The sequence below is a fragment of the Homo sapiens genome, chromosome 9 (genome assembly GCF_000001405.40).
Source record: "Homo sapiens chromosome 9, GRCh38.p14 Primary Assembly".
NCBI lineage: Eukaryota > Metazoa > Chordata > Mammalia > Primates > Hominidae > Homo > Homo sapiens.
Window position 1 is genome coordinate 84,816,161 of NC_000009.12, and position 27,420 is coordinate 84,843,580.

The 27,420-nt window shown below is 41.9% G+C and overlaps 1 protein-coding gene and 1 long non-coding RNA gene across 23 annotated transcripts in view; one reads left to right on the forward strand and one right to left on the reverse strand.

Annotated features, from left to right (window-relative positions):
* The window catches only part of NTRK2 (neurotrophic receptor tyrosine kinase 2), a 358,533-nt gene that overhangs the window by 147,639 nt on the left and 183,474 nt on the right, over positions 1 to 27,420 (forward strand). The gene's annotated exons all lie outside the window — the stretch shown is intronic.
* On the reverse strand, positions 11,205 to 15,907 carry LOC124902193 (uncharacterized). Of its 2 annotated transcripts, none has more exons than XR_007061632.1 (3): positions 15,823 to 15,907; positions 15,494 to 15,564; positions 11,205 to 11,321 (listed from the first exon to the last, which is right to left on the reverse strand). It is a non-coding gene; the product is annotated as an uncharacterized LOC124902193 (long non-coding RNA). The 2 variants fall into 2 exon arrangements; XR_007061631.1 differs by having other exon boundaries at positions 11,205 to 11,324.

The following is a 27,420-nucleotide window of genomic DNA, read 5'->3' on the forward strand; positions in this document are numbered from 1 at the left end:
TGTACTTGAAAGCGAGAGAGAGGGGAATATGTTGGATGTAGAGGGAAGATACCATGAGACCATAACTGTTAGCATGGTGCCCACACTTCATGTCCCTTTTGTCTCTATCCTCAGGTCAGCTGCATGGTTCCTGCCCCATTTTTCCCATTGAAAACAGGATGTAAAAGTGAGGTTTGTAGGACCTCAGGCTCCAATTCATTTGAGCCTGCCATTCCCTTCTGTTGACACCCAAAGGGTTTTGCTCTAAATCAGACTTAGGGATTGGAAAAACTAATCTAGTGTGACCTCATGCTTTATCAAGTCAAGTATACTGCCCCTCTTATAAAAGCCCAGTGTTGGGCTGGGCGTGGCGGCTCACACCTATAATCCCAGTACTTTGGGAGGCTGAGGCGGGCGGATCATGAGGTCGAGAGTTCAAGACCAGCCTGGCCAATGTGGTGAAACCCTGTCTCTACTAAAAATACAAAAATTAGCTGGGCGTGGTGGCGGGCGCCTGTAATCTCACCTATTCAGGAGGCTGAGGCAGGAGAATCATTTGAACCCAGGAGGTGGAGTTTGCAGTGAGCCAAGGTTGCGCCATTGCACTCCAGCCTGGATGACACAGCAAGACTCCATCTCAAAAAAAAAAAAAAAAAAAAAGAAAAGAAAAAAGCCCAAACTTCAGTGTTAGTGACTTGTGCTTTTTCCAAACTCCCTTCTCCATTTGTTGAACGAAGAACAGGTTGCATCTAACATCTGAAGGTCATATGATAATTTGGAGTGGCAGGCATTTGTCACAGACTATGCAGGTTTGAATCCCAGCTATGCTCACGAACAATATAATCTTGGGAAAGTTCTTTCACTGCTCCGTGCTTCAATTTCTTCCTTTGCAGAATGAGATGATGGTAATAAGAATAGTACAATATTTACCTCACTGGGCTCTTATAAGAGTTAAATGAGATGGCTCAGGTAAAGCCCTTGGCACATTGCCTGGCAAGTGGGACACTCGGTATTGCTAATAACTAATACTTCAAAGGAGCTTTGGTTGGCGAGTCGTTGGGTGTACCTCGGTAAATGTCCACGAATTACAAACCCACTCGCATATCTTGGTCATATGCAGATTGTGTGGTTGCAAATAATGGAAACCAAATGAAAGGAAACTTCACTCACTGGGTCATCCTGGGTGTGGCCCAACCTGTGAAGGCCACTTTGGAATTGTTTCAGGAGTTATTAGGATTCTGCTCTTGAATTCTTCTCTTTATCCAAGCCAATTCTTACACACTGATTCTGCCTCAGGTTTGATTTTGATAAAATAAGAGGATCTGATTTATTTGGCCAATATTCTAATAGTTCCATGAGTTTGAATGATGGTCTGTTATTTGCAAATTCTTGGAGAAATAGCTCTGAATGTCTTACACTGAATACAGCTGGCCTCACTAGTTCTCATTTTGTTAATTCAGATTTCTTTTTATCATTTCAACAGGGAATGCATTAACTTTACTTTTTGAATTATCTATTTAAAAATCTTTGGCTAAGAATGTAAGTAACAACTTAGCCAAAAGATTGTTTCAAAGAAAAGACAGTTTCAAGTTCCCTCAAGACTTAGAAACGAGTATTCACAGGCAATGAGTTATGAATAACTAGATTATTCTTTTCCTTCCTGAAGTTGTTTCTGGTAATAGCTCTAGAAGGCCACACATGATTGGCCTAGTTGGAACTACTTCATGTTTGAAGTCATAAATTTCATGTTATTAAAAATACTTCATAATTTGCACTTTTTTCCTATCATTAAATCATTTTAAATGAGTGGCGTTGATGTATTTCTAGCACTTAATTTAGGACAATTTTACTATTGCTACCACCTTTCCTAATACATCCTTTAGTGAGCTCTACCACAGGACCTAAGAGATAATGATAGGTAACAGGTATTGACTTCAAACTTAAGTGTTTCATGATCCTCCCAACAACCTTATGAGGCCAAAGCTAATATTGCCTGTATTGTAACGATTAGGAAACTGAGGAATGGAGCCATGAGGGACGTGCCTCAGGTTACCGAGCTAACAAGTTAACACTAGGATTTGAGTTCAAGCAGGCTGTCTGTAAAGCTGGTGCTCCGTATGTGAACTGGATTCTTGAACTGGGCTGGGGCTAGAGCGAGGCCAGCCAGGTGTCTAGGGCACAATTTGAAAGACGGTGGTAACTCTTAGGTTCATGCAAGTGCCCAGTGGCCACTCCTACTAGCACTGGCAGTTGTGTTATTGTTGCACTAAAGTAGAATTCTAAAGTTAACTGAAGTCACTGGAGAGGCACCCCTTGATCCCAGCAAGTCTTCAGGTATTTGTGCCATGAACAAATCCTTTTCAGATCTTGACTTGCAAGTATGTGGCACAGTAGTGAAATTGGCACATACATTTTAAATTTCACCTTGTGAAAAAGAGAAGTTGCATCAAGTCTGTAATTCAGCGCTAATTAGTTAACCCCAGAGCACGTTTGCTTTGTCCGTTATAACTGAAGATGGATTTGCTGTTTTTTATTGCCTTCAGGTGAATTTTCTCATCACTCTTGAACTTTAGTACTTCCCATTCTTTTGGAGTAGTCCCTACTCTCTGGTGAGTGAACTTGAGGGAAACCTTGCGAGTGGAAAGGGCCTGGTGGGAAGGGGTGTGGAGGACACGTCCTGCCATCTCCATGAACAGAATCCAGACATCAGAACAAGGTGGTGAAAAATGCCTGCGCTGTTCCTTGCCTTTCGAACACCCACAGGCAGAGCAGCGTCGGAGCTGCTTGGTCACTTCAATGTGCCTGTCCTCGAATGTCCCGTCTGGCAGCCAGTGATTGAGAGAGACTGCTGAGGGCACATGCTAATTTTCCAGTCATTTGGTCAAGCCCCATCTCACACGCTACAAGACCCTGGAGCCTGTGTTTACTGAGTTAAAATCTCTGCCTGACCATAAATTAATGAACAGTAAGTTCCCTCCCTCTCTCTTTTAGAAATGTTTATCCTGTTGCCAAGAAGGAAAGGAGAAACCTCTTTTGTGTTTATTAACCACGCTTCCATCTCTTTTTAAAAATTATCATCATGCTGTAATCAGTCTTGCTGAATTATTATATAGAAACATAGGCCACGGCTGTTTGCTTTAAGGATTTTAATTCAGCCTCAAGTAAATTCATGCAATTTCACCTCAAGCCCCTTGAGTCGGGGTAGGAAGTACAGAGTCGCCAGCACTGTTTTACCTTACCTGTGGAGAGTTCTAGGTTTGTCACCTGAACTAGGACACAGCCTCTGAGGGTGCTTCCAGGCTTTTCAAAGACTGCTCTCAAGGCAGATTTTCCTCTTTGCGTTTACTCCAGGCTCCTGGGTCTTGGGGAGGTTGATTGATTACCTCTCCATCACGCTTCACTCAACGCTGTTGAATTGAATGCCACGTCTAATTACATGCAGGTCTCCTGCTGGCTTCTCAGGGTGTCTGACCCATGGGGTGCACTGGCAGGTCTCAGGCAGAGGAGGCGTTCAGGGTATGTCTGTTGTGTTCCCCCTGTGGAGGCGCCAGCCTTAAACAGGCTCAGCCCTCCCTATCTGGAGTCCTGCAGAATGGCGCCTTCTCTGTGGCTCCAGCTCTGTCTGGGATCCAGCAAAGCTATTTTCCCTTCCTGATCCCTGGAGTTGGTAAGGGCTTCCCACTGTTGTCAGTTCCTGAGTGCCTATTTCCTGTTTGTTTCTTTACCCCGCCCGCATCTCTCTGTGTGGCCCTACAATATATCTCTTCATTTGAACCATATGGGGTGAGTTATTTTTCCTTGACAAAACCCTGAGACATATGTTATATTCTTTAATGTATGATCTCATTTTATCTTCCATCAAATCTCTTCCAACTCCAGTAAATATTTATTAAGTGTCAATTATAGTTGACCCTTTAACAATGTGGGGGTTAAGGGCACCAATCCCCTGCACATTTGAAAATATGAGTATAATTTTTGACTGCCCCAAAACTTAACTACTAATAGCTTACTTTTTTTCTTTCTTTCTTTCTTTTTTTTTTTTTTTTTGGTGACAGCGTCTTGCTCTGTTGCTCAGGCTGGAGTGCAGTGGTGCGATCTCTGCTCATTGCAACCTCCGCATCCCAGGTTCAAGTGATTCTCCTGCCTCAGCCTCCCTAGTAGCTGGGACTACAGGCGTGCACCACCACGCCTAGCTAATTTTTGTATTTGTAAGAGAGATCGGGTTTCACCATGTTGGCCAGGCTGATCTTGAACTCCCGACCTCGAGTGATTTGCCTGCCTCGGCCTCCCAAAGTGTTGGAATTACAGGTGTGAGCCACCGTGCCCAGCCAATAGCTTACTTTTGACCAGAAGTCTTACTAATTCCGTGAACAGTTGGTTAATACATAGACTAGTATCTACATGTATTTTACGCATTCATGACATATTTAACTTTTCGTTAATTTTTTCAATATTTCTATGTTACAAGGTTCATCTGTTAATTTTTTCAAATTGTTTCAAATCTCCTAAAAATTTCGAATATATTCATTGAAAAAAATTTGTGTATAAGCGGACCTAAGCAGTTCCAACCTGCGTTGTTCAAGGATCAAGTGTGTATGTCGGCCAGTGAGCTAGGTGCTGGGAGGTACCTCCACAAACCAAGCAACTCCATCTTTGGCCTTATGGGCTATGGCCTAATGGTAATGTGTATAATATTGATACTATCACTGCCCATAATAAGAGAACAATGGCTTAAAAAGTTAAATGACTTTTCCAAGGGCACACACATCAGATTTGTCTGCCTATAAAATCTCTGCTTCTGGCATTGTTTCTCTGAGGCCAATGATTTTCCTTTGTCTCTTGGGTGTCTCTAGGCTGCAAGTTCTGAGCTAGCCATAAGATCTCTGCTCTTCATTTTGGTGGCTGTAATTCTTCTTGACTTGGTGTAAATGCATGAAGTATCCCTGCCCTTGTAACCTGTTTTCTTTTTTTTATTTCTCTTTTATCTTTTTTTAAAAAAATCATTTTCTTCTCTTTTCTTTCAGTTCTCTTTTTACTCAAGACAAACACCATAAATATGCTTTGTCTTTTCTTTAATTTTCACACTTTAAAATTTTCAAATTGGTTGGGCGGAATGTACTTAGCTTGCATGTTTATGTGTGTGTGCGAGAGAGAGAGAGCAAGGAAAGGGCACAAGAATTTACACACACACACACACACACACACACCCCTATGGAATAGGAATACCATGTATTTTCAGTTCTATTTGATCAAATGGGAATGTAATCCCAGTACATACACCATTTACCATTATCACCTCCTCAGTGCTTACTGTGCTGTAACACTCCCAGCTCTTCTTAAAAAACTTTCCATGTTGTATTTTTTGCTCTTTGTTTTTACTTCCTTATAAATAGCAAGAAGTTTTGCTGAGAAGAAATAATTACAAATCCCAAAAGGTTGGTGTTCCGTTCTGAGCTCCAAGATGTAAGGATTGAGTGGATTTCAAACTTGGCAAAATTTCTGACTTGGCAAATGCTTCCATCCTTATTTATGACAGCTTGGAAACTTCCATTTTCCAGGGTTTATAAATGATGCTGCTGATTTTGTCTCCTTTTTTTATTTTGCTGTGAATTATAAAATAACCAGCCTGAAGGTTTCCTTATAATATTAACCCTCTTAGCAGAGAGGGAGAGAAGTAGAGAGAGAGAGAGAGAGAGAGAGAGAGAGAGAGAGAAGAGAGAATGTGTGTAAATTGCTGTGTTCTTTCTTTTCTTGGTTATGAGGTGCATTTTACATATTTCATAAGCCCATTTACTTCCCTTTTTCTGCCTTTCAACAAAATGAAAATCTAGAAATGTTGAGGTTTGGGATACAGAGAGTGACAACCTGTGTTTGTCATTTTCACCATAAAGGACTTCTTGGCCAGCAGTCCTCTAAGGGATGATACATTTCATCTCCAAATTGCAATTTAGCATTTGGAATTCTGGAGCAAGATAGGTAATGCATAAAGTATCAGAGAGTCTTTTTCTAGTGGTGTGAATAGGCTATTTCAGGGGGTCTCCATGCCCATATTCTTAGAAAATTGTCCAAGTGGAGGAAAAACAAAGAAGTTGTCACCTTCTTTTCCCTTGACACTCCTCCCCCACTGAAGCCTTCTTCTTTTTCTTTTTCACTTTCTTACTTCTATACTCAATTCCTCAAAGCCCACTCATCTTAGGTTTCCTTTGTAAGTGCTTTTTCCTTTCGATTCATGGGAATATGAAGAAATTAGGAGCCTTCATTTATTGGGTAGAGTAGATAGATTTTACCAAATGTGGGCAATAGGAATTTTGCAGTGCAGAATGTGTCCTCTCAGAAGCAGACACCAAGATGGAATTAAAGCTGCAAAGATTTTTATCCTGAGAAACTCTTGGGTGAGAGAAACTGGGAAGGGAATCCGAGAGCAAGGATCTGTAAGAGCATCAGACTGCAATGCAAGCAGGACTGTGGGTGAATAAGAGAGGGATGGAGGCTTAGGTCAAGCACCCTCGACTGCCGTTCACTCTAGGGAGTTACTGGCGAGGCTGCTGGGGAGTATTTGAGCCAAATCAGCCATCAGAAGACTTCCTTGTCTCCCAGGAGGGTTCTGCCTTTATATTTCCACCACTCTCACTCATTGGCTCTGGAGCTTGGCCTCTGTGCAAATGAGGCGATAAATTCCTGAGTTCAGCATTTGGTACCCTTGGTCAACTATGTTCCCTGTCCTTGAAGGTCTACGAGGTGCATTCTCAACAGTAGACACTGTCTTATCTGAGCTCCACTTAACAGATATGCTCATTAATTGCTGCTTGCCATCTCTCTGTAAAACACAATGACCAACCTACACCCTGGACACTCCTGGCTGAACATCTGGGTTGAGTGCTTTCGGAAACTCCACTTCCTTAAATGACCTACTGTCAGTTTCATTGGTTAAAAGGGCTTCTACTACAATCATTTTTTTTTTTTAAAAGTACCCAGGCTGGGCAAGTCAACATTTTGAAATGTTTAAAAAATGTAATTTTTGAGCTGTAGCTACCCTTTTATTTATGGCAACATAAAACAACATCTGAAACTAAGACCTGTTTTTGTTTTTCTCGCCTACATACTAAAACCACGAGTGATTTTTATTTCATTTCATTTTGTGTTCCCCATCAAACAAATTTCCTATCATGACAGCTCTTGTTATTGATTCATATTCTTTCAGAAGAGTGTTTATGGAAGTGTACATCAATGCCTTGCCAGGCATGAGGACCAAGTCGGAGTGGTACAGAGCGATGCATCCTCTTACACAATTACTCACTCCTGGACTTCAGCAGCCCTTGCATTGAATTGTTTTCAAGGAAAATGAGACCTTATTCAGATGCAACCAACTTTATTGAGTACTTTCTATGTGGTAGACCATAGGTTCCTGATTCAAATGACTACAGGTTGGGACAGTCCTGGGCGTCAGTAGCTGGGGTGGAGGAGAATGCCCCATGCACAGGATAGGGCTGCCCCTAGCCCAGCCCATGTTGGCGTGCAGGAATGAAAGCCTAGCGTACCCAAATCTTCTGATTTTTTTAAGACAAGGGGAGATCCGGGTTTTTATGTGAAATTTTCTAGTTTTTAAATGTTGGCAAGACCCTTCACATTTTTTAAGGTCTCTATGAGCCAAACATAACAAGTGTTGATGCCAAATGTTGCCGTTTGTGACTTTCTGGCTGGACATTCTGCTCGTGGCTTTCAGACGTGGTTCCTTTACAACAGCCCTGAGTAGATACTTGTCTTAAGTCAGGCTTCCTGGAAACAGATGCTGAGATGAGGATTCATGTGCAAGTAATTTATTAAGGGTGTGCCTGGGACCGGTATGGGGAAGCAGGACAGTGGGGGAGGAGCTAAGCAGGAGTATGATTTGAGCCAAAGCCTTGTGGAGGTGGTTTCAGCCATTTAGTTTCAGTGGTTTAAGTTGCCCTTCAGAGTTGTCCCACCCTGAGCTTAGGGAGCTGGGCTTTCATATGTGTACACCTGTCAGTCATTAGCTGCAGGTTGCAACAGGCAAAAATGGGCTCCAATAGCTCAAGGGAAGGCCTCCAGAAAAGTGACACAGGTGCTGGCTGTTGGCACTGCAGGGCACACAATGGCAGTAACAGTGGTTCTGAGAGAACCCTCACGACCCACCACCAGCAATCTGTGGCTCTCCCTAGTCGACAGGCTGAGCCAGAATTCAGAAACTGATCTTTTGACTCTGTGGCCAGTGCTTGTTGGCACCCTTTCCACCTGCTTCTTACTGAGATCAGCATGCAGAATTCAGATCATCTTAGACCCTGGCAAATTGGTATGTTGGCCCTGGGCTACTAGCTCTTCTTTTCCTCTAGTAATGCATGGAGAGAGGGTGGCATGGCTATTCAGAGGTGGGGCAGCCCAACAGGAGCAAGAAAGGGGCTCTGGAGCCCCCAACCCTGTAGGCAGCCCTAAATGGGCTCCCAAGAGAGGCTGAGGCAGCTCTCAGTTCTAAATTTTTCTTGCTAAGTTTGGCAATTTCTTCCCTGAGATGCAGACAGTGTTTCTGGGTGCTCTGTGTCCTGGTGAGTTCTGGGCCTATGAGACACACTTGTCCGCTGCTGGAAAGGTGGACCTTTTGGGGAAATAGGCCAGCAGCTTCTACATCTTGCATCACAGTGCCACAGTATGTAGGCTGTTTCCTTTGGAGAGCTTAAAGCTATTCATGGTTTTAATTTGGAGATACACCCTCTAAAATCCAACCAATTTCCCTTGAAGGAAATCTATCAGATCTGAGGAGAGAAGACAGAAGCTACAGCACCATCTGCTAACCAAACACCTCTGGATTTTGTGGGTTCCAGAGGCAAAAAGATCAGTTTTTTTTTTTTTTTAACTGAGTTCATCACGTGTTCCCAGACACACCTGCCCCGTGCCTTCTGCTGTAGTGGACAATTTGCTCATCCTTCCAACTCCTGGATTACCCAGGACAGCTTTCCTCTCCCTGGGCTCTTGAATGTGGTTCCAAAATCAAGCCAAGTCTTCCTCACCCAAATCTTTCAAACCTGTCCATTTTGTGTACCCCCACCCTGTCTACCATCCTCCAGGCCCTTTGTAATTGAGAGGGCCAAGCTGGTCTTCTCTCTCCCCTTCTCACCATGCTTCCACCCCCTGAGCCCCACATTATCTTCCCAAGATGCAGGCTTGAGCCTTAGGCAACTTGCGCAGCTGAGTAGATTAAGTCCAAGCTTCTCAAAAGAGCATCCCAAGTTCAGGACATTGTCACTCCAGCCATGCTTCCCCACCCACCACCTCTGGTCCACTTCCTTAAGCTGCCTACTCCACTTGGTTTGACCCTCTTCCTCCCACCACCCTCAACTTATTGATTGGGTGACCTTGAACTTGGCACTTAACTCTCCAAGTCTTAGATTTGTCCTCATTAAAACAAGGGTGGGGTGACTAGGAGATTTAAGTGGAAAAAAAGTCTGGCAAGTCATTCAGACAGCATGGCATGCAGTAACAGAAGCAATGACCATAACAATGATTATCATGATTGTTACCTATCTTCCCACCCTCCTAGAAGCTGGCACAGAATTCTGCACACAGAGTGGCACCTTCTTTCCTATACCCCCATATTAATAATTGTGCCATAGTGTTCATCTGGTGAGAGGAGCTTGGGTCTGCTGTTGCTGCATTAAACTGGATTGCTCCAAAGCATTAGACCACATGCCACTCCTGTCAAAGGTGCTACTGGGCTTTCAAAGAAACAGATGAAAAAGATGTGATTCTCAGTTGAGTTCACTTTTGTTGAGATGTGTGAATGTTTCTGAGTAAAGCTATGTGGGACCTCATAGCTGAAAGGCTGAATCAGAAATAGGGAGCTTCTGAGGCACGGAAGATCAGTAAAGCTTTAGGATTCTGAATGAAACTAAATTCCACCCCCCACCCGCCATGGACAGCAGAAGCAAAGATCTCTGGGGAACTTCTTCAGGATGTGAACCAGGGGCTGCCATAACAAGTTACCACAAACGTGATGGTTTACAACAACAGAAATTTATTCTCATCATTGTGGAGTCTGGAAGTTTGAAAGTGAGGTGTTGACAGGGTTGGTTCCTTTTGGAGGACCTGAGGGTCTCTCTTAGTTTCCAGGGGCAATTATCGGCATCCTTTGGCTTGTAGCTGTATCACTCCAGTCACTGCAGCTGCCTTCAGCTCGCCTTCTCCCTGAGTCTCTGTGTCCTCTCTTCCTCTTATAGAAATTCTCATTAGATTTAAAGCCTACCCTAAATCCACGATAATCTCATCTTAGTAATTTTTAATAACATTTGCAAAGGCCCTTATTTCCAAGTAAGATCACTGTCACAGGTTTCAGGGCTCAGGATTGGACATATCTTTTTTTACAGGCCACCATGTAACCCACTACCTGGAGAACAGAGTTGAACTGAGAGGTTGATAGCACAATGGAAGGTACAGGATGTAGATGCCAAGAAGATCTGAGTTCCAATCCCTGTTTGGCCCATGATGTGGACGTATCCCCTAACCTCACTAAATCTCAGTTTTTCCTTTTCTGTAAAAGGGGGATACTCATTTCCACCACGTAGATTGTGAGAATAAGTTAACAATGCATGTATCTAGTACTTAGTAGATTCACAATATAGTTATTGTCTATAGCTATTACCACCACTCATTCATTCATTTAATAAAAATTTAAATCTCTGGACATCAAGGTGAAAGAGACATATCATATGGCTTTTAGTCATAAAAACACTTTGAAGGAGTTTTGTGTTTGTTGAATGAATAAACAGGTGTTCAGATCTGAAGCCTATCAGAAGTATTTGCTTTGTTCCAAGCGAAAGAAGGGGGTTTGGCAGGTCCTCTTATGCACTGTGCTGCCTGCAGGGTGAATGATGATGATGGTGATGCCAGACTTTAAAGGAAGCTCCTATTTTAGACTAGTGTTTATAATCCTTAAAGAATATCATTACATTATCATTCACTTCAATGGTCCACATAGGTGGTCATCAGAGTGAATTCTATGGGGAACTAATATCAAGAGGCAATGTGAGGTGTCTTAACTAAAGAAAAAAACTTACAGCACAGAGCAAGGTGGGGCCAGGCAAGTAACAGTTAAAGGGAGGAGAGAGGGGCAGCCCCTTGGAGAGTGTGTGTCTTATTTAAACAGGGCAGCTGATACTCACTCGTTCATTCAACCATGCATTTAACCCTTCTCCTTGCCTTGGACTGTGCCAAGTGCTGGGGCCACAGGGTGAGAAAAGCAAAGTACTGTCTTCAGGGAGCTTATGTTCTCTGAGCGCAACTCCAGCTCTGGGTGCCACGTGGGAATCTAGGGCTTTTTGCTGCCAAATCATCTGCTTTTTAAAGAGAAGAAGCCAGAGGTTATGTGAAATCTCCTGATTTTTAAATGTTGGCAAACAATGTACATTTTTAAAGAACACTGTGCAGGCCAGACAAAACTTGTCTTTTGACTCAATTGGGCCTGGCCTGTAGGCTGCCAATCTGTAACCCTTGGGGTGGAATCTCATGACTTTTGCCTTAAGAAACATTTTTCAAATGTCTGATTTTACGCTAATTCTCATTTTTCCTGACTTCATTGCAAGCTGCCAATGCTTACTGCTTGTTGTCTATGTCCTCCTGGATTTAACGATTCCTAGGTGCTTCACCTCTGCGTTTTCAGCTGAGCTAACCTCAGTCTATCAGTTTCTCCCTTGCAAACCTAAGCCCCATATCTTTGATTACAGTTTCGTGTTCTCTCAAGCTTCCAGAAAGGCTCTGAGCATTGCCCATTTTTCCCTCAACATTTCTTCTCTTGAGAATTGGAATCTAGTCCAAACCCTTAACTAAACAGCTTATAGATTAGAGCTGCTTTTAAGCCTTTCTTTTGAAACTTGCCCTTCCAATTTTCATACCCATTGAGTTGCATTGACTCCCAACCTTAGGTGTGATATTAATTTCTCTCAGAGGGACATGGATTTAATAGACTTTTTAATTAACATTTTGCAGAATCGGAGCTGTCATTCTTTATGGCAGACTGATACAAATGTCTATAATTACATTTTTGGCATTACATCTGGGGAAAAGTCTAGAGATGTTTGTTTTAACCCCTTCCTAAAACATACTGATTTATGGGCAGGCCTCTTTGTGCACACCTCTAACAGGCCCAGTTGCCATGACAACGCAGAACATCATTTGTCAAAGAGCTATAACTTCATTATATGTTGAAGCTGAAAATTTATCTTTTAGAATTTATTTTTATGACAGGGAAATTTTGCATTTCCATAGATATGCTTCTTCTCCCTAATTCTGCTTGTCTTTAGGGAGATTCAGGATTCAGGTGAATACTTTCTAGAGAACAAGACAAACCTCCTACCTTTCATTCTCTCCCCCTACCCCCAGATGAATTATTGTATTCATTCCAAAGAGAACTCAGATGGCCTCATTAGTACAACAACACAACAAAGGTGAAATTGTATGCCAAGTGTGTCTAACTAAATATGATTTTTGTTTCTTTTAAAAGATTAAAATTTTATTGGTTGATTATTTTTGGCAGTAAAGTTCAAAGAAAGGGAAGAAAGAAAATGTCTGTAAATCCTTCCTACAAGCTGGAGAAAGTGAAATATTTAGTTATTATATTTCCTTGTGTGATGTGTGATTCATGGATTGAAAAGTCAAAGCCGATTAAAGGGGCAGGCAAATATATAAATTAGTGCAGTAGGCTCCTGGGGACTGTGTCAAATGGAATGCTACATGCCTTCTCTGAAGATAGTAGCTTGTTAGTGTTTACTGACAAATGTGGACCCTTGTACAGGATTGTTTGTTTTGTTTTTTTTTTAAAGAAGCCAGAAATCTATGGTGTTTTTTTTTTGTTGTTTGTTTGTTTGTTTTGAGATGGGGTCTTACTCTTGTCACCCAGGCTGGAGTGCAGTGGCACGATCTCAGTTCACTGCAACATCTGCCTCCCAGGTTTAAGCAATTCTCATGCCTCAGCCTCTCCAGTAGCTGGGATTACAGGCGGGTGCCACCACACCTGGCTAATTTTTGCATTTTTAGTAGAGATGGGGTTTCGCCATATTGTCCAGGCTGGTCTTGAACTCCTGACCTCAAGTGATCCGCCTGCCTTGGCCTCCCAAAATGCTGGGATTACAGGTGCAAGCCACAGCGCCTGGCCCAGAGATCAATTTTCACATGAAATTTTCTAATTTTAAAATGTCTTCAGGTCATATGAATTTTGTTTGTTTGTTTGTTTGTTTTTTGTTCTTTTTTAAGCAGGTAATAGTCAAACAAAGCACATCTGAGGGCAGGTTCACTCTATGGACTCCTAGATTTGGTTTCTGCCCTAATGAATGCTACACAACAGCTTAGAATGGCTTTGTTTCTCTAAACGAAATAGCCAAATCAATCATTGTGCTCTCCAGGCCTTCTCAGGATCTGGTGTGTTGAGTGTTCTGTCTGTTGGCCTCTTAAGGGGCGATGTTCCGCCTGTTTGCATGCTGGGCCGTTGTTGGACTCTGCACCACCCGGGAGAGGACACAGTGAGAGAATCCCACCTGCTCCTCGCCGACATGCCAAGATGGATGGCGGGGGTCCATCAGATGCCTTCTGGGATTGTTCAGGGATTTATGATGCTCACTTTTTGTTCTTGATGGATGGGGTCATTTAATCCTCTGCACTAAACCCCATCTTTTTCTTTTGTATTGAGAACTCCTGGACTGCTGCTGCCTTTCCACAAGGGATAGCAAAGATTTTCTTTCCTCTTACTGCATTTGAGAGTGTTTTGTTACTCATTCATCAATGAGGGAAAAACACTAGTAATTCTTGGGAATAAACCATCAAAAACATCTGGGGCAAAGCTTCCCTGTGGGTATTACTGCACCAGAGTAGGAGCAGTTTAGGGAACACCCCCTTCTCTCCAAATCATCCTATGGTGGACATCTATCACCTATCATCTCGCTGGTTGAAAGTTAGATTTAAGACATGTTGGCATTCATGTAGACTTATGCTAAGTATGGAAGCCTCACAGTGGCTCTGGCAACGACAGCAGGTCAAGACATGCTTCATGCTTCTTCCCACCTTTCTCAGGCCCTCCCATGATGCCTTTCACACACCCTAGGCACAAGTCTGTCCTTGTTTACCCTCACGTTCTTGTATACAGTTTCCTGTACACAGAATGTTGTGCACCATCGTATCTCATTTTAACCCAGGCAGGGCTTTATTGATCCTTTATGGGCATTTAAATATTAGCACCACTGGTTAGAAGTGTGATAGAAACAGTTTCCCAATAAGTAGCTGTTAGAAACTGGCACAGGTTTGGGTTCCTTATTATTTTCCTGTCTCCTTATGCTTTAGAGCAGCCTAAGGGTGTGTGTGTATGTGTGTGAGCATGCGTGTATGTGTATGAGCATGCATGCGTGTGTGTGTGTGTGTGTGTGTGTGATTTTGGCTTAATTTTTCTTTCTTTGAACTGTTCTTAGCCTATAAGAGAGAAAGGAGATGTTATAGATTATTGAACAAAATATGCTCATACCCTATGCCAGGTAGAGGCAGTTTAATCTCCAAAGCTTTTCTCAATATTTTTTTAAAAAAGTATTTTGAAATAACCATAGAATGGTAATGAACTAATTATGATCCCATATTCTGTGTTTACTTCTTCCCTCAAGTGATTTTTAAAAATCCTACTGGCATTGTATTTTTTAAACAATATATGAATTACAAAGTAGTAAAGATTTCCTATAATCCTGCCACCCAGAAATATTTCATTTAGTTTTCCTAATGCTTTTCTGTGCCTATAATTGTTCTGTGCTTGAATCATATTGTATATAAATATTTTTATTTCCTATTACATGTACTGAACAGTATATTTACAAGGATTTCTTCATGGAGTTAACATTTGTCATAAATAAACTTTTCCATCGCTCTGTAATATTCTATCCTTTGAATAAACCATAATGTGTTTGATATTTTCCTAGTATTGGATGTTTAAGTAATTTCCAATTTCATTGTTAAAAGTAACACTGTAATGGGCATCTCTGTCCATATCTCTGGATTTTTTCCTAGGATTGATTTCCAGATATAACATTTCTAAATTATGAGGTTTTGATATTAAGACCCTTATAATATATTGCCAATTTACTTTCCAGAAATATTGGCACAGTCACACCAGAAGAGTATACAAATGCCCATTTGTTAGCAACCTTGTTAACATTGTTTTGCTAATTTCTCCCCTCATCTTTGCTTTAGTGTTTATATGCTGTTTTATATACAAGTCTAACCGAAGGGAGGGGGTCAGGGAAAGGGAGAGAGAGAGAGGATCACTGCCTAATAAGAAAAAATTCTAGTTTTCTATGCCCGTGGTACATTGGTGGTCAGTTACCCAGGAGAGGCACTTTAGCATATACCAGACAGTACTTTAAGTGTTTTCCATATGCCAACTCCTGTAATCCTCACAACATTCCTGTGAGGTAGATACCACCATTATCCCCATCCAGAGAAAGAAAGTGAGGCCCAAGGAGGCTAAATGACTTACTCGAGGTGACGGAGCTAATAAATGTCACAGCAAGAATTCAGACAGGGCCTTTGGGATCCAGAGTCTGCATTCTTGTAAGAGAAAAGAAGAGACTTCAGGGCCTAGGCCACATGATGGATAATCAACAGAAGGGGTGGTCAGCACAGGTGATCACAGGATGTAAGTACACTTAGGAGATTCTCACAGTTCTCTTTTCTTAGTGACTGGAAGAGTAGGTTCTGATTCAAAGTAAGATAAACCTCTAAAAAAGGCAAGATATTTTAGCTCAGACGGAAAGATCTTTCACTGCCACTGAAATAAAATTTGTAAATTATTCTTCATGATCATACCCAGTTAACTCCAAAATAATTCAGAAATTGCATTTGTTTTATGCCTAAAAAACATAGTTGTTTTCTAAATACGAAGAGGTGTTAGGGTTTTCTTTCCACCTTGACCTTCAGAACATGGAATCTGATGAAGCTTAATATTCTTGTATTCTCTTGTTACCCGTTTCTCTCCATATAACTGGAAACCTAGTGGCTTTCTTAGATTCTTAATAAGTTACATGCCTGTGATGTTAAGTTAACAATCACAATTTAATTCAATACACAAGCAATTGGCACCCACACAGGGATGCTAGGCATTTTAAAGAGGTTCAGAGATATGAGACATACCTTCAAAGGTTTACGTCCTCACAGGGAATTTTAAGTTCACAAGAAAAATATAACAAGGTAGAGCAAGATAAAGATATTAAAGAACCAAGTGCTACAGTGATCAGAGAAGCTATTTCTTGCTGCAGAGATCCAGGGAAGGATTCCTGGGAAGCTGACATTTCTGCTGGTCCTGAAAGGAGCAGTAAGAGGATAAAAGCAGAGACGGAGGTGAGGAGCAACCTGGTGGAAGTGTCAGGGCGAGGGAGGTGTAGAAGCAGCACAGGCCCAGCTGTAATCACATGATGCAGCATCGTTGTTGCGTGTGATAAACATGCATTAATGTCTATGGCTCCAGCTGTGTATTACGCAATCTTTAACCTAGATAGAAAACCCCAAACCCCTTGAACCAGCTGCGAAAACATAAAGAGGACCTGCCTTCTCCTTCATTTCACTGTCTTCATTCACCTCAGTATGATTTGCTGTAGTCTTTTTCAATAAAAGTCTGTTTTACGGAAGTGCTCCTGAGCTGGCCCAGTGTGTTTGAATCGCAGGGAGGAGGACGATGCGGGAGAAATTGGCTTGAATCCTTGGTTTTCTTATTTGGGCCATAGATAATATCGGCAGCCACCCCCGCACCTGGATAGATTGGATGCGGGCACTCCTGCACACTCTATGGAGCCTTGAGAAGGCCGTGCTGGGCTGAGTGGGGACTTCTGTGTCAGAGGAGCCCACAGCTGAGGCTGCCCTTCTTCAAGTGTGGCCTGTCTCAGAATCATCCAGTTAAAGGTGCATATTCTTGGGCCTCATTGGTGGTGGTGGTGGTGGTGGTGGTGGGTGGGTAGGGAGGGCAAGAGACTGCATGTTCAAAAAGCTCCCTACAGGGTTCTGATGCACACTAAGGTCTGACAGCCATTGTTCTGTGAAGTGCTTCTCAGCTTGGGCTGCACACTAAAAATCACCTGGAGAGATTTTTAAAATATCCATGCCTGGGATCCACACTAGAGGAACTAAGTAAGAATATCTGGGCATGGGGTCTTGACAGCAGTCTCTTTTTAAAATACCTTAGGTGATTCTAAGGTGCAGACAGGTTTGAGAATAACTTGAATTGGATGAGAGTAACCTAATGCTTTTAGTGATTTGCATGAGAAAAAGAAAGGAAAGAAAAAAAGGAAGGAAGGAAGGAAAAAAGGAAGGAACAGGAAAGAAAGAAAGAGGGAAGGAAGGAAGGAAGGGATCACTCTAGTAGATACTAAGAAAGGAAAGAAAAAAGAAGGAAGAATAAAAGAGGAGAGACAGAAGGAAAGAAAGAGAAAAAGAAAGAAAAGAAAGAGAGAGAGAAAGAAAGGCAGGAAGGAAGGAGGGAGGCAGGGGAGGGAGGGGGCAGGGATCACTCCTATAGATACTAAGATGAGTGTCCAATCCATTCTTACTCTTGTATTTTAGGACTACATATAAATCTTTGGAGCTTCATAGCAGCTTCCCTTGATAACCCAAATCAAGTAACTCACTGACACTTTATTTCTTACCTGGAGCACTTTTTAAAAACCCAGGCTATATCCCAGACCTAAGTAAGGATTTCTGGGGGCAGGACCATCAATGTTGTTAAAGTTCCCTGGGTGATTCCACTGTGCAGCAAGGGTGAGAATTGCAGGAGGATGCCCGGGTGAGGATGGGCACAGAGGTGTCTCCATGTCTTAGTTCATTTGACTTTCATCTTCCACTTGGGTAGCTCACTACAATCGCCATAGCCACTGTGTCTGTGGTGTTATACTGTCACCTGCCTAAAATTCTAGCTTAGCTGGAGAGGTGGGCATTTTCATACAGAACTTTACAAAATACAAACGGAGAACCTATCAAAAGCCTATCAATAAGGTTGCCAGATTTAGCAAATAAATACAGGATTCCCAGCTAAATTTGAATTTTAGATAAACAAGAAATGATTTTTAGTATAATTATGTTTCATGCACAAAATAAAAAATTATTTCTTCTTTGATGAAATTTAAATTTAGCTGGGAATTCTCTATTTAATCCTACCTATAAAGGAAGTTAAATCAAATCAATTTAAAATAGCAGGTGTCTGATTCTACAGTTAATAACAGGTCTCCAGGATTGCTGTGCCCTGGAGGCTGCCCCCAGGATAATTAGGCCTGAGCCCCAAAGTGTTAGTCCCCCTTTCTTAAGTCACTGTTAACAAGGAGGGAGTTGACCACTAATTACATTTTTTCCCTTGATGATCTAGGTCAACACTTAGTCTGGAGCATCTAGGAACCCCTAGAAGCATTGTTCTAGTCACTTTCCATTTCAAATCGGAGGGGTGTGTCTCATGTTGAGCCAGTATAACAATTGACTTCATCTTTCCTGGCTCGGGTTACTACCTCTGCGCACATGTTGAGAGTTCTAGTTCAAGCCCACTGACTGCAGGCAACAGGAAAGGCATCTGTAACATTACGCACAAACCATTACTCATACACAGGGCCACCTTCATGGGACTGAGATCTGTGCTGTCATATAGCTTAGCAGGGCTGCCTGCTTGGTTTAATGCTCTGTTGTCAAGATTTTGAAATTCTTAATATTTTATAAATGAGGGGTCTGCATTTTATTTAGCAATGGACACTGAAAATTATGTAGCTGGTCCAGCTCATGCAACAAAACATGGGCAATATAGACTAAAAGCAGTGGCATTTTTGCACAGCTGATAATTTACATTCCTGGTAGTGGGTATGGCCTTAGTCTTCTCTCTTGGGTAGGTGATATTCCTTTGGCGGGGAAAACCATAACAACTGCCTACCCATGCCTTCTAGCTATTTCAGGGATGCCTGCCTTAACAAAGACTTCTGCCATCCAAATCCAGACGTTTTATCTGGGAGCTTGAATTCACCTACATATCATTTCAAGTGTGGCTATCTTTCAGAGTGGCATTTAGTAGGTGTCGCCATTCATCAATCAGCAATTATTGAGTATCTGGCCCTGTGCAAGACATCTTTCCTCGCTTGCCCCTTCATCATTATCAATCATCACAGTAGATGTATCCAGTGCCCATCTGTGCATGACCCTTTGTTTCAAGATGGTGTGTGCTAAGCTGTATTCTGTCAGCGAAATGAGCCCCCACTCCAAAAGGCAGTCAGGGTTGTCTTTGGAACAGAGAGTTTCTCCTCAGCTAAAAAAGGATGTGTCTATCAAGTGCTAAAGCCACGGGATATGTTTTCTGGCCACTACTAGATTTAGACAGAGATAACAACAACAAGAACAACAAGAACAACAACAACAACAACAAAAATGCACAAAACTCCAAAGATGGCCCATTGGGTTGGCAGAAAACCAAAGCTGCCCCTCCCCCCTTCTTTGTAATGGTCAGGTTGTAAAATCAGGCAGTTGTCTCTCAAAATCATTGCTGAAGATAGCCGCATGGGTAACAGCAGCGTGAGGCTGACCCAGGGAAGCCAGCTGATGGAAAACTATTCTGAAATCCTGTGTGTGAAAGTAACCTGAAAAATAAAATGTGTGAGAGCAACGTAAGGCATTTCTTTTCTTATTTATGGCTCATAGAGCTTGCTTGAGGCATTTCGGCATTTCCCCTGCAATGCCAGCAAATCCTAATCTAATATAAAACTCAAAACAATTGACAAGACAGAACAGCTCCAGAAACATAAGGAGGCCCTCGTGGTTGAAGAGTAAGACAGGATTTACTGGCATGGCTCGTGTATTGTGCCAAGGCATAATGCTAGATCCCATCACATTGTGGGGCCGTCTTAGAACAGAAATCTCAGGGAAACAGAGCTTCTTACCATTCTAGCAAACACCATAGTTCTGTTCTTTGCCAAAATGTTTTTAAGTTAGCCTTATGGCAGAAGTAAAATTGTTAAAATATGCTGACATATTGTGAACATTTTATTAATCAAAGAGTTACTATTCAGGTATTTAAGGCCGTGCATGTTGATATGGGGCAAAAAAATCACTGCTAGGTTTAGAGAAATGCAAGAAGAGGGCAGCTCTTCCTATGATCTGCCCTGTTCTTTTGCCCTAGTTGGTTGGGAAATGATGGCTATGTTGGTGCTTTTAAGTAAGAGAAGTAGCCCTGCAAGGAACTGAAACATCTTGAATGAGGGAGGATGCTCCTGAGTTGAATTAAATGGAGTGGAATGATGGGCAAGAACCCACCAGGTACTTGGAGCATGTGAGTTGCAGTAGGGAAAGTGGGATGAGCAAGTACAGTCAATGCCCTTGGGGGACTTGCATCCTCATTGAGAGAATAAATTATTATCCTATTAGATTACACTCTAATGTAATGTTATTGTTTTCTAGCATAATCTAATATTATCATCTAGTATGCAGGACCACAGTTTCTTGTCCAAAACTCATGGAACAGGATGCCTTGGATTTGGGGGATTTGGAAATTTTGGAAATGCTCACTATGGTTCATACAGTGATTATCACTACCACCTCCGCTGGGGCCTTGGGGAGCTCTCCACAGTCAATGATATTTCTGCGGTGGCACTGAGGCTGGTCCCAGTAACTGGGATCAGTAAAGTCTACAAAGAACCTTACAACAATTCAAGTCAGATTTTCCTGCCAAGCGAGTGTAACTTTGGGTTTTCAGAACATCTTGGATTTCAAAAGTGCAGATAATAGATTGAGAGCTTGTCGTAGAGTATAATATAATATAATATAATATAATATAATATAATATAATATAATATAATAATACTGGAATATACTATAACAGAAATTCAATGAGGGCATTATTTCCCAAATACCCAGAACAATTCCTGGCACAGAGTAGGCATTCAGTAAATATTTGTTAACTAAATAACAAAAGTAATAAGAAGAAATGTTACTTGTTATTTTATTGAGTGTCTATACCATGTCAGGCATAGAGAAGCTTCATACTAATCCTTTCAGGTAGGTGTTGTTATTCCTATTGTTATTCTTATTTTAGAGATGAGGAAACTGTTTCTGAGAGAAGTTAAGTGACCAAAGCTACCAGGGTGGCAGTTGATAAAGCTGTGATTGAAACTAGGGGGTTTGGCTATGGGGATCAAGAGCCCACTTGGAAATGTCAGGCTGCCTGGGATCTAAGTCCTAATTCTGCCGCTCACTGGCCAGGTAAACTTACACTAATGGTCTGACTTTGCTGTGCCTCAATATCTTCACATGTAAAATGAGAATAATAAGTTCTATGTTATAGAATTATTTACAGATATATATAAAGTGCTTACAAACTGTGTTTGGAACTTAGATAGACCCTCAATGAATGTTAGCTTAAACTGATGCTTTCGAGGGAGGCTTTGTAGCAAAGAATTTTGTCTGATTGAATAGAGAATAAAAAGATAAAACTTTAGATAACCTCATATATAACCCACTAATCAAAGAATAATCACATGCTACTATGATAAACTCAGGATCCAGTAACTAAGTCTAAGTCACAAAAGAAAGTCTATTTGGTTGTCTCAAGTGATTTAGGTGTTGCTAAAACTAAATAACTTTTCTTTTAAAAATTGGTAGACTAAGAATAGAAGAATGCTTCCTTTATATGCTAAAGATGCCATGTCATATACCAACAGTCACCATCATACTTACTGATAAAATCTAAGAAATTTTCCCATTAATATCTGAAGCAACACAAGAATGCCTATATTATTACCATTATTTTATCACATCCTGGAAGTTCTGGCTAATGGCATAAGACATGAAATGGTTATAAAAGGTTTGCTTATGGAAAAGGCAAATATATTAATAATTATAGATATTATGCTTTCTTCAAAAATAGTGGAGAATCAAATTACAAATCCAATAATAAAACTAGAGGTCCTATAATCTGGCTGGATACCATATACAATATTTAGTGGCTTTCCCATATGTTAGCAATAATGTTAGACAATATAATGGCAAACGTGTCACTCAGAATAGGAAAACAACAACAGCAGCAGGAACAGCTATAGTACATCCAGAAGAAAATAGCGACAGAGATGGGGAGGAAGTTATGTGGACAAGATTGTTAGTCTCCACAGAACTTACAATAGCAAAAAAAAGGAAAAAGAAAATAGTGTGCAGTAATACCAGAATAATTAACCGAATTCATTGAGTGATGGTAAAATTGCAGAGATAATAAAATAAAGTACATGCTCGCCATACAATGTTAAGAAAAAATGTACAATATTACACTATTTTCAGTGTATATTGTATATGCATTATGATCCCAAACTTATTTTTTATGCAGTAAAAATGATGAGATCAAGATGTTATTATCAGACATGGGGTTGTAGGTGATTTTTATTTTCTTCTTTATACTTACCGCATTTTCCAAATTTTCTACAAAAAGCAAGCACACAGTCATAGAATACAACATGTTACTCAAAAGTATTTAAGAAAAAATAATACCAGAGGAATCAATGTACCTACTATTACTTTTCTTCCGATATAGTATATTGTAATTCACTATTATAATAGTTCACTATTTTGTGAAGTTTTATTGCCAATATATAATTTAAAGCAAAATAAATGGTGGCTTATTTACCAAAAATAGATAATTCTGGACTTTAAAATATAAAATAACACTACATACCTTCTGCTTCATTGATTTAAAAAATTGAAATTCTGTACAGAAGCCTTAATGATTTTTTTTTTTTACAATGTTTTGCTATGCAACTTGGATTCAATTTCTGGAGTAGAGGGAATGCCAAGATGTGCACAAAGGCCTTGGGAGGTGAAATAACATCCATTTCATTAATTCTTTGAAAAATAAATGACCTCACTTTCTTTATGACTATAGTAATTAACACTCACATTTGCACTGATTCAGAACGATGCTTTGTATTATTTATTACCACCCATTTGTGGTTTGGTGGTCAACCTAATGGGTATCTTTGTCAGAAAGTTTCTGTTTGTGAAACACATTGAAGTTGTTCTCATCTGCTTGTCCAATAATTTCTCATCAGAAGAGTCAAATACACTTTAAAAAACTTGAAATAATGCAGACCACAGATGAGGGCAGATTTTAATTCTGACTTTTAATTGGCCTGTCTTGTATCCTGTTCACTCTGGTAAAATGCAATATTGATTAATTTCCATGAATCCCTTAGTCCCTTGCACAAAGCTTAGTATGTAACAGTTGTTCAGGAAATGTATGTGGACTGGATAGAAATGAGAATAAAAACCAGAGGCTTCAAACTCTTGGACCCGTCCTCCCATTTCACTGTGACGGGTCTTAGTACATTTTGATTCTCATCTAAAGACATTAATCCTTGGGGTCACTCTTACTCTGTAAAGAGCAGTGACCATCTTGCTGCATTAGGTCAACACCAGATATTTATGGAGCGCGTACAGGCCATGTGCTGAATCGGGCTGAGCGTTAGTTTTTATGATGTGGAGCTGATTTCAGAGCCTCTAGCAGATGCAGAGCAATCTGTGCATTCTTCAGGCCAGGCCCCAGCGTGCCTGTGGGTTTTCTCTGCTTTGCTGCCCGGGAGCTATGCTGCCGCCTTCTCCCTAATCCCTGCAAACAGGCAGCGTGTGAGGAGTCTGCCAGCACATCAAGTGTGTCTGCAAAATGCAGACAAATTGCTGCTCTTTATTAGAGGTACGGATGAAGGACTCTGGGAAGCTCTGAAACTACAGGGCTTTGGGTTTCTTGGCTACTTTTTTCTCAAGCTCTACTTTCAGAAATACGATGTTAGTAAGTGGTACATTTCACTGCCAACATCCCTCCCTTCCTCCTTTCATTCCTCGTTCTTTCCCTTTCTTCCTCCTCCTCCTCCTCCCTCCTTTCTTAAAAATTTAGAAATAAAATAAGACCTTCTTATTGCTTTTTCTTGCTGATTAGGAAAAATAGCCAGCCAGTTCTAAGTTTGGTCCTTTGTGAGAAATGTGTCCTCTGCCTGGCGTCAGTCATGCTCTCATGTGAACATTCCCTTGAATTTGTCCTGTTTCCAGCTCATCCTCTGCTACCTTGATGCATTCCAGGACCACAATCATTGACAATTCTTTTTTTTTTTTTTTTTTTTTTTAACTCTTTCTCACTCTGCTCTTGTCTTCGCTTTGTCTAACTTTGATTCTGTGGTCGCTGGTTATAAGGTCACTGTTTTTTTGAGAAAATCAAAGCTGTCTGAAGAAAACACCCACAAGCCTCCCCAGACCATATGCCACCTTTATATGCATGGCCATGGCTCTGCCTTCTCTCCTGATACAAGGCTTCTCCCCAGGACCGCCCTCCCCATGTGCACTGGCTGGACTCTGACCTCTTTTGCCTGTTGAAAGACATCACCCCAGCCATTGTCCACTCTCTTTCCTGCAGCGTTACATTTTCTTCTGAACCGGATCATTCCCATCAGTTTACAAATCTGGAAGCTCATATTCCTCTATTCCTCATGTCTGAAAAAACACACTGCTCTTGACTTCCCATGCACCATGCCCCAATCTAGCGCGCTGTTCTCCTTTGCCTCCAACAACCTTCTCTCGAAAGGGTTCTTTCTTTCTCCAATTCCTCTCTTTCTCCTTTCTCTTTAATTCCCTCAAATCAAGCTTTCATTCCAAATGCTGCACCAGAGTGTCCCCTTCAGAGGTCGTTGCATTGCTAAGTCCCATAGCCCCTCCCAGTTCTTATCCTACTTGGCCTGTTGGAGGCACCCAGCGCAGCTTCTTGTTTCCTTCTTCACTGACTTCACTTTCTTCACTGGCTCCAGGCTGCTGCATTCTCTCTTTTCCTTCTACATGGGTAGTAGAAGGAAACTACCAAGTGGGACTGTTGCTGAGCCCTGAAGCTCAGTCTTTGAGACCCTCTCCTCTCCAGCTGCTCTCCCTCATATGGGGATTTTATCCAGTCTCATGGGTAGAAACCTCAGATGCATTTTGAATCCGTCTCCATGCTGGCATTGCCCACCTCTCGTTTCCAATGGAGACCTGTCTTCCGAACTGTAGGCTCGTATGCCACCTATCTGCTCAGCAGCTCCACTTGGATGCCAGGTGAGCATCTTACACTTGGCATGACCAACACAGAGCGCTGAGCTGTCCCATGAGATGTGACCCTCCCACAATCAAACCCAACTCAATAAATGGACACCCAGGCTGAAACCTGTGAGTCCTTGTGACCCCTCTCTTCACTTACACCCCCAGCCTATATTAGCTCTGCCTTCAAAGTATAGCTAGACTCCAACTGCTTTGCTTCACCTTCACAGCTACTAACCTGGTGCAGTCTTCTCTAATCTCTCCTAGAATATCTGGCCACATTGGCCAGAGTGCACCCTGGGCACCGTACTCTCTCCCTACAGCATTTGTATCTGTGGCTCCCTCTTTCTGGAATGTTTTTCTCCTCTCCTTCAGGTCTTTGTTCAAATATCACTGTCTCCCGGAGGCCTTCCCTAACCATTGTTTTCAATTGCAGCCCTTATACCTGCTAGACTGTCCCGGTCCCTCCTCCCACCTTACTTATGGTCAGAGCACTTGCCACTCTCAGATGTGCTGCAGATTTCCTTGTTGTCGTTGGTAATTCTCTGTCTGCCCCCACAAAATATAAGCTACATTCACGGCAGAAATTTTGGTCCATTTCTTCACTTGTCCTAAAACAGTTCATTGTAATAAATATTTGTTGAATAAATGAATGAAAGAATGAACATCCCAGGTTGAATCTAGGGCACAGCAAGGTTCAGAGCCATGTGATGAGACGCATCCCAAGAAAAGTGTCACTGTTAGTGGCCCAGATGTTTCCACATGTGCAGATATGTTCAATCCCATAGACAAAACATTGAAGCAACCAGTGGAACTATTCACCCTTTCTCCAGAAGTTTGATGACACAAGCAGTGTGAATGACTCTGGAATCCCTGCTAATCCCCTGTTTTCATGTCCAGCCAGTCTTGCATACCATTACATTTCTTCTGCTCAGGAAAAGGCTGACTGAGCTTTGTCTGGGTATAGGACGTACTTTGGGATGCAACTCCGTTCCTCGTGAAGAGGCTCTGACCTCTCTATCTGCACTTCCTTCTTTACTCTTCACCCTCCTGATCTAAGTCTTGCCCTCCTGCAAATCATACTCCCCATGGCTGCCAGCGTTATCATCATAAATCTGTGTTTTCTTATCTGAGGGAAAGAACGTTTTTAAGGCACTATGTGAGAATCTCATTCTGGTTCTGGATAGCTCAACAGCCAGCTCTGAACCCAGAGGAATGCCGTTGGCTGAAGTTACTGATCTGCTTCAGGATTTTACCTCCACTGCAGGCTCACAGGTATCTGACTGCTCCAGGGTTGGGACTCTGGCCGTGGCTCTGCCTCTCCTCGTTTTCCACCCATAGTGCTGCTTCCCTGGCCTCACTCTGGGTTCTCCAGCAGAAACCGGCATGCTCATGGGTGCTCCCATCTCCCTGGGGCTGATTTCAGTGATGGTTGGGGCTTCCCTCCGTATGACCATTGGAACCTCACCTCATCCACAGTCTGGCACCACTACTTGGCTACATTAATTATTCAAACCCTCAGTTTTTTAATGCCACATTTGGAGAGAACTAGATCTGAGTGAACATTTGGGAAAACTAGACCCACTGTTAGAGCCAATGCAAAGGCCTTAGAAGACCTTAGACTGGGGGAACCCAGTTTTCCAGAAGTTTATGAATGACCAGGAGTGTCTCTAAGGAGAGGAATGAGGCAGAGTATGTACCTAGAGGACCTCATAATCTATTCCCATGATCCAGTCTTTTTGAATAATTCTTGGCATCTAAGAGCAAGAACTACATATTCACTTTGCTTCATTTGCTGTCTGTGTGGCTGAATGAATTCCCCAGCACCTCAGTTCCCTCCTGTAGGAATGGGGGGTCATAGCATCTACTGGATGGTATTACGGTGAGGAGCTAATAAAATGCCTCATGCGTATAAAGAACTCAGTAGGTGCTAATTCTTCCTACTATATGGCACACAGTAGGTTTTCAATCTCAACATTTTAAGTTAGTGGGTTGGTTCCCTGGGTCTACAGTAGATGAGTAGTTATTATGCCTGCAGGTGCTCTGGATGCCTTGTAAAGTGAATGAGGCATGCGACCTGTGTTTCTGCTCTTCTCTCAGTAGCCTCCCCTCCCAGCACAGCATTCTCTCAGTTCCCAGGAAGTCCCCTGAGCTGCAGGCCTTTCTCACCTTTCACTTTCCTTCCGTTAGAGGTGGCTCCCACTGCCCTTCACTCCCAGGACCCGACTGAGAGGTGAGCCAGCTGCCCACCAGCAGTGCTTGGTTTGAATGGTTGTGATGGTTTGATGTGTTCTTTTTACCAGGGAAAGTTGCATTTTCCCTGGAGATTTTTGAGGGCAGTGTTAGAACTCAAAG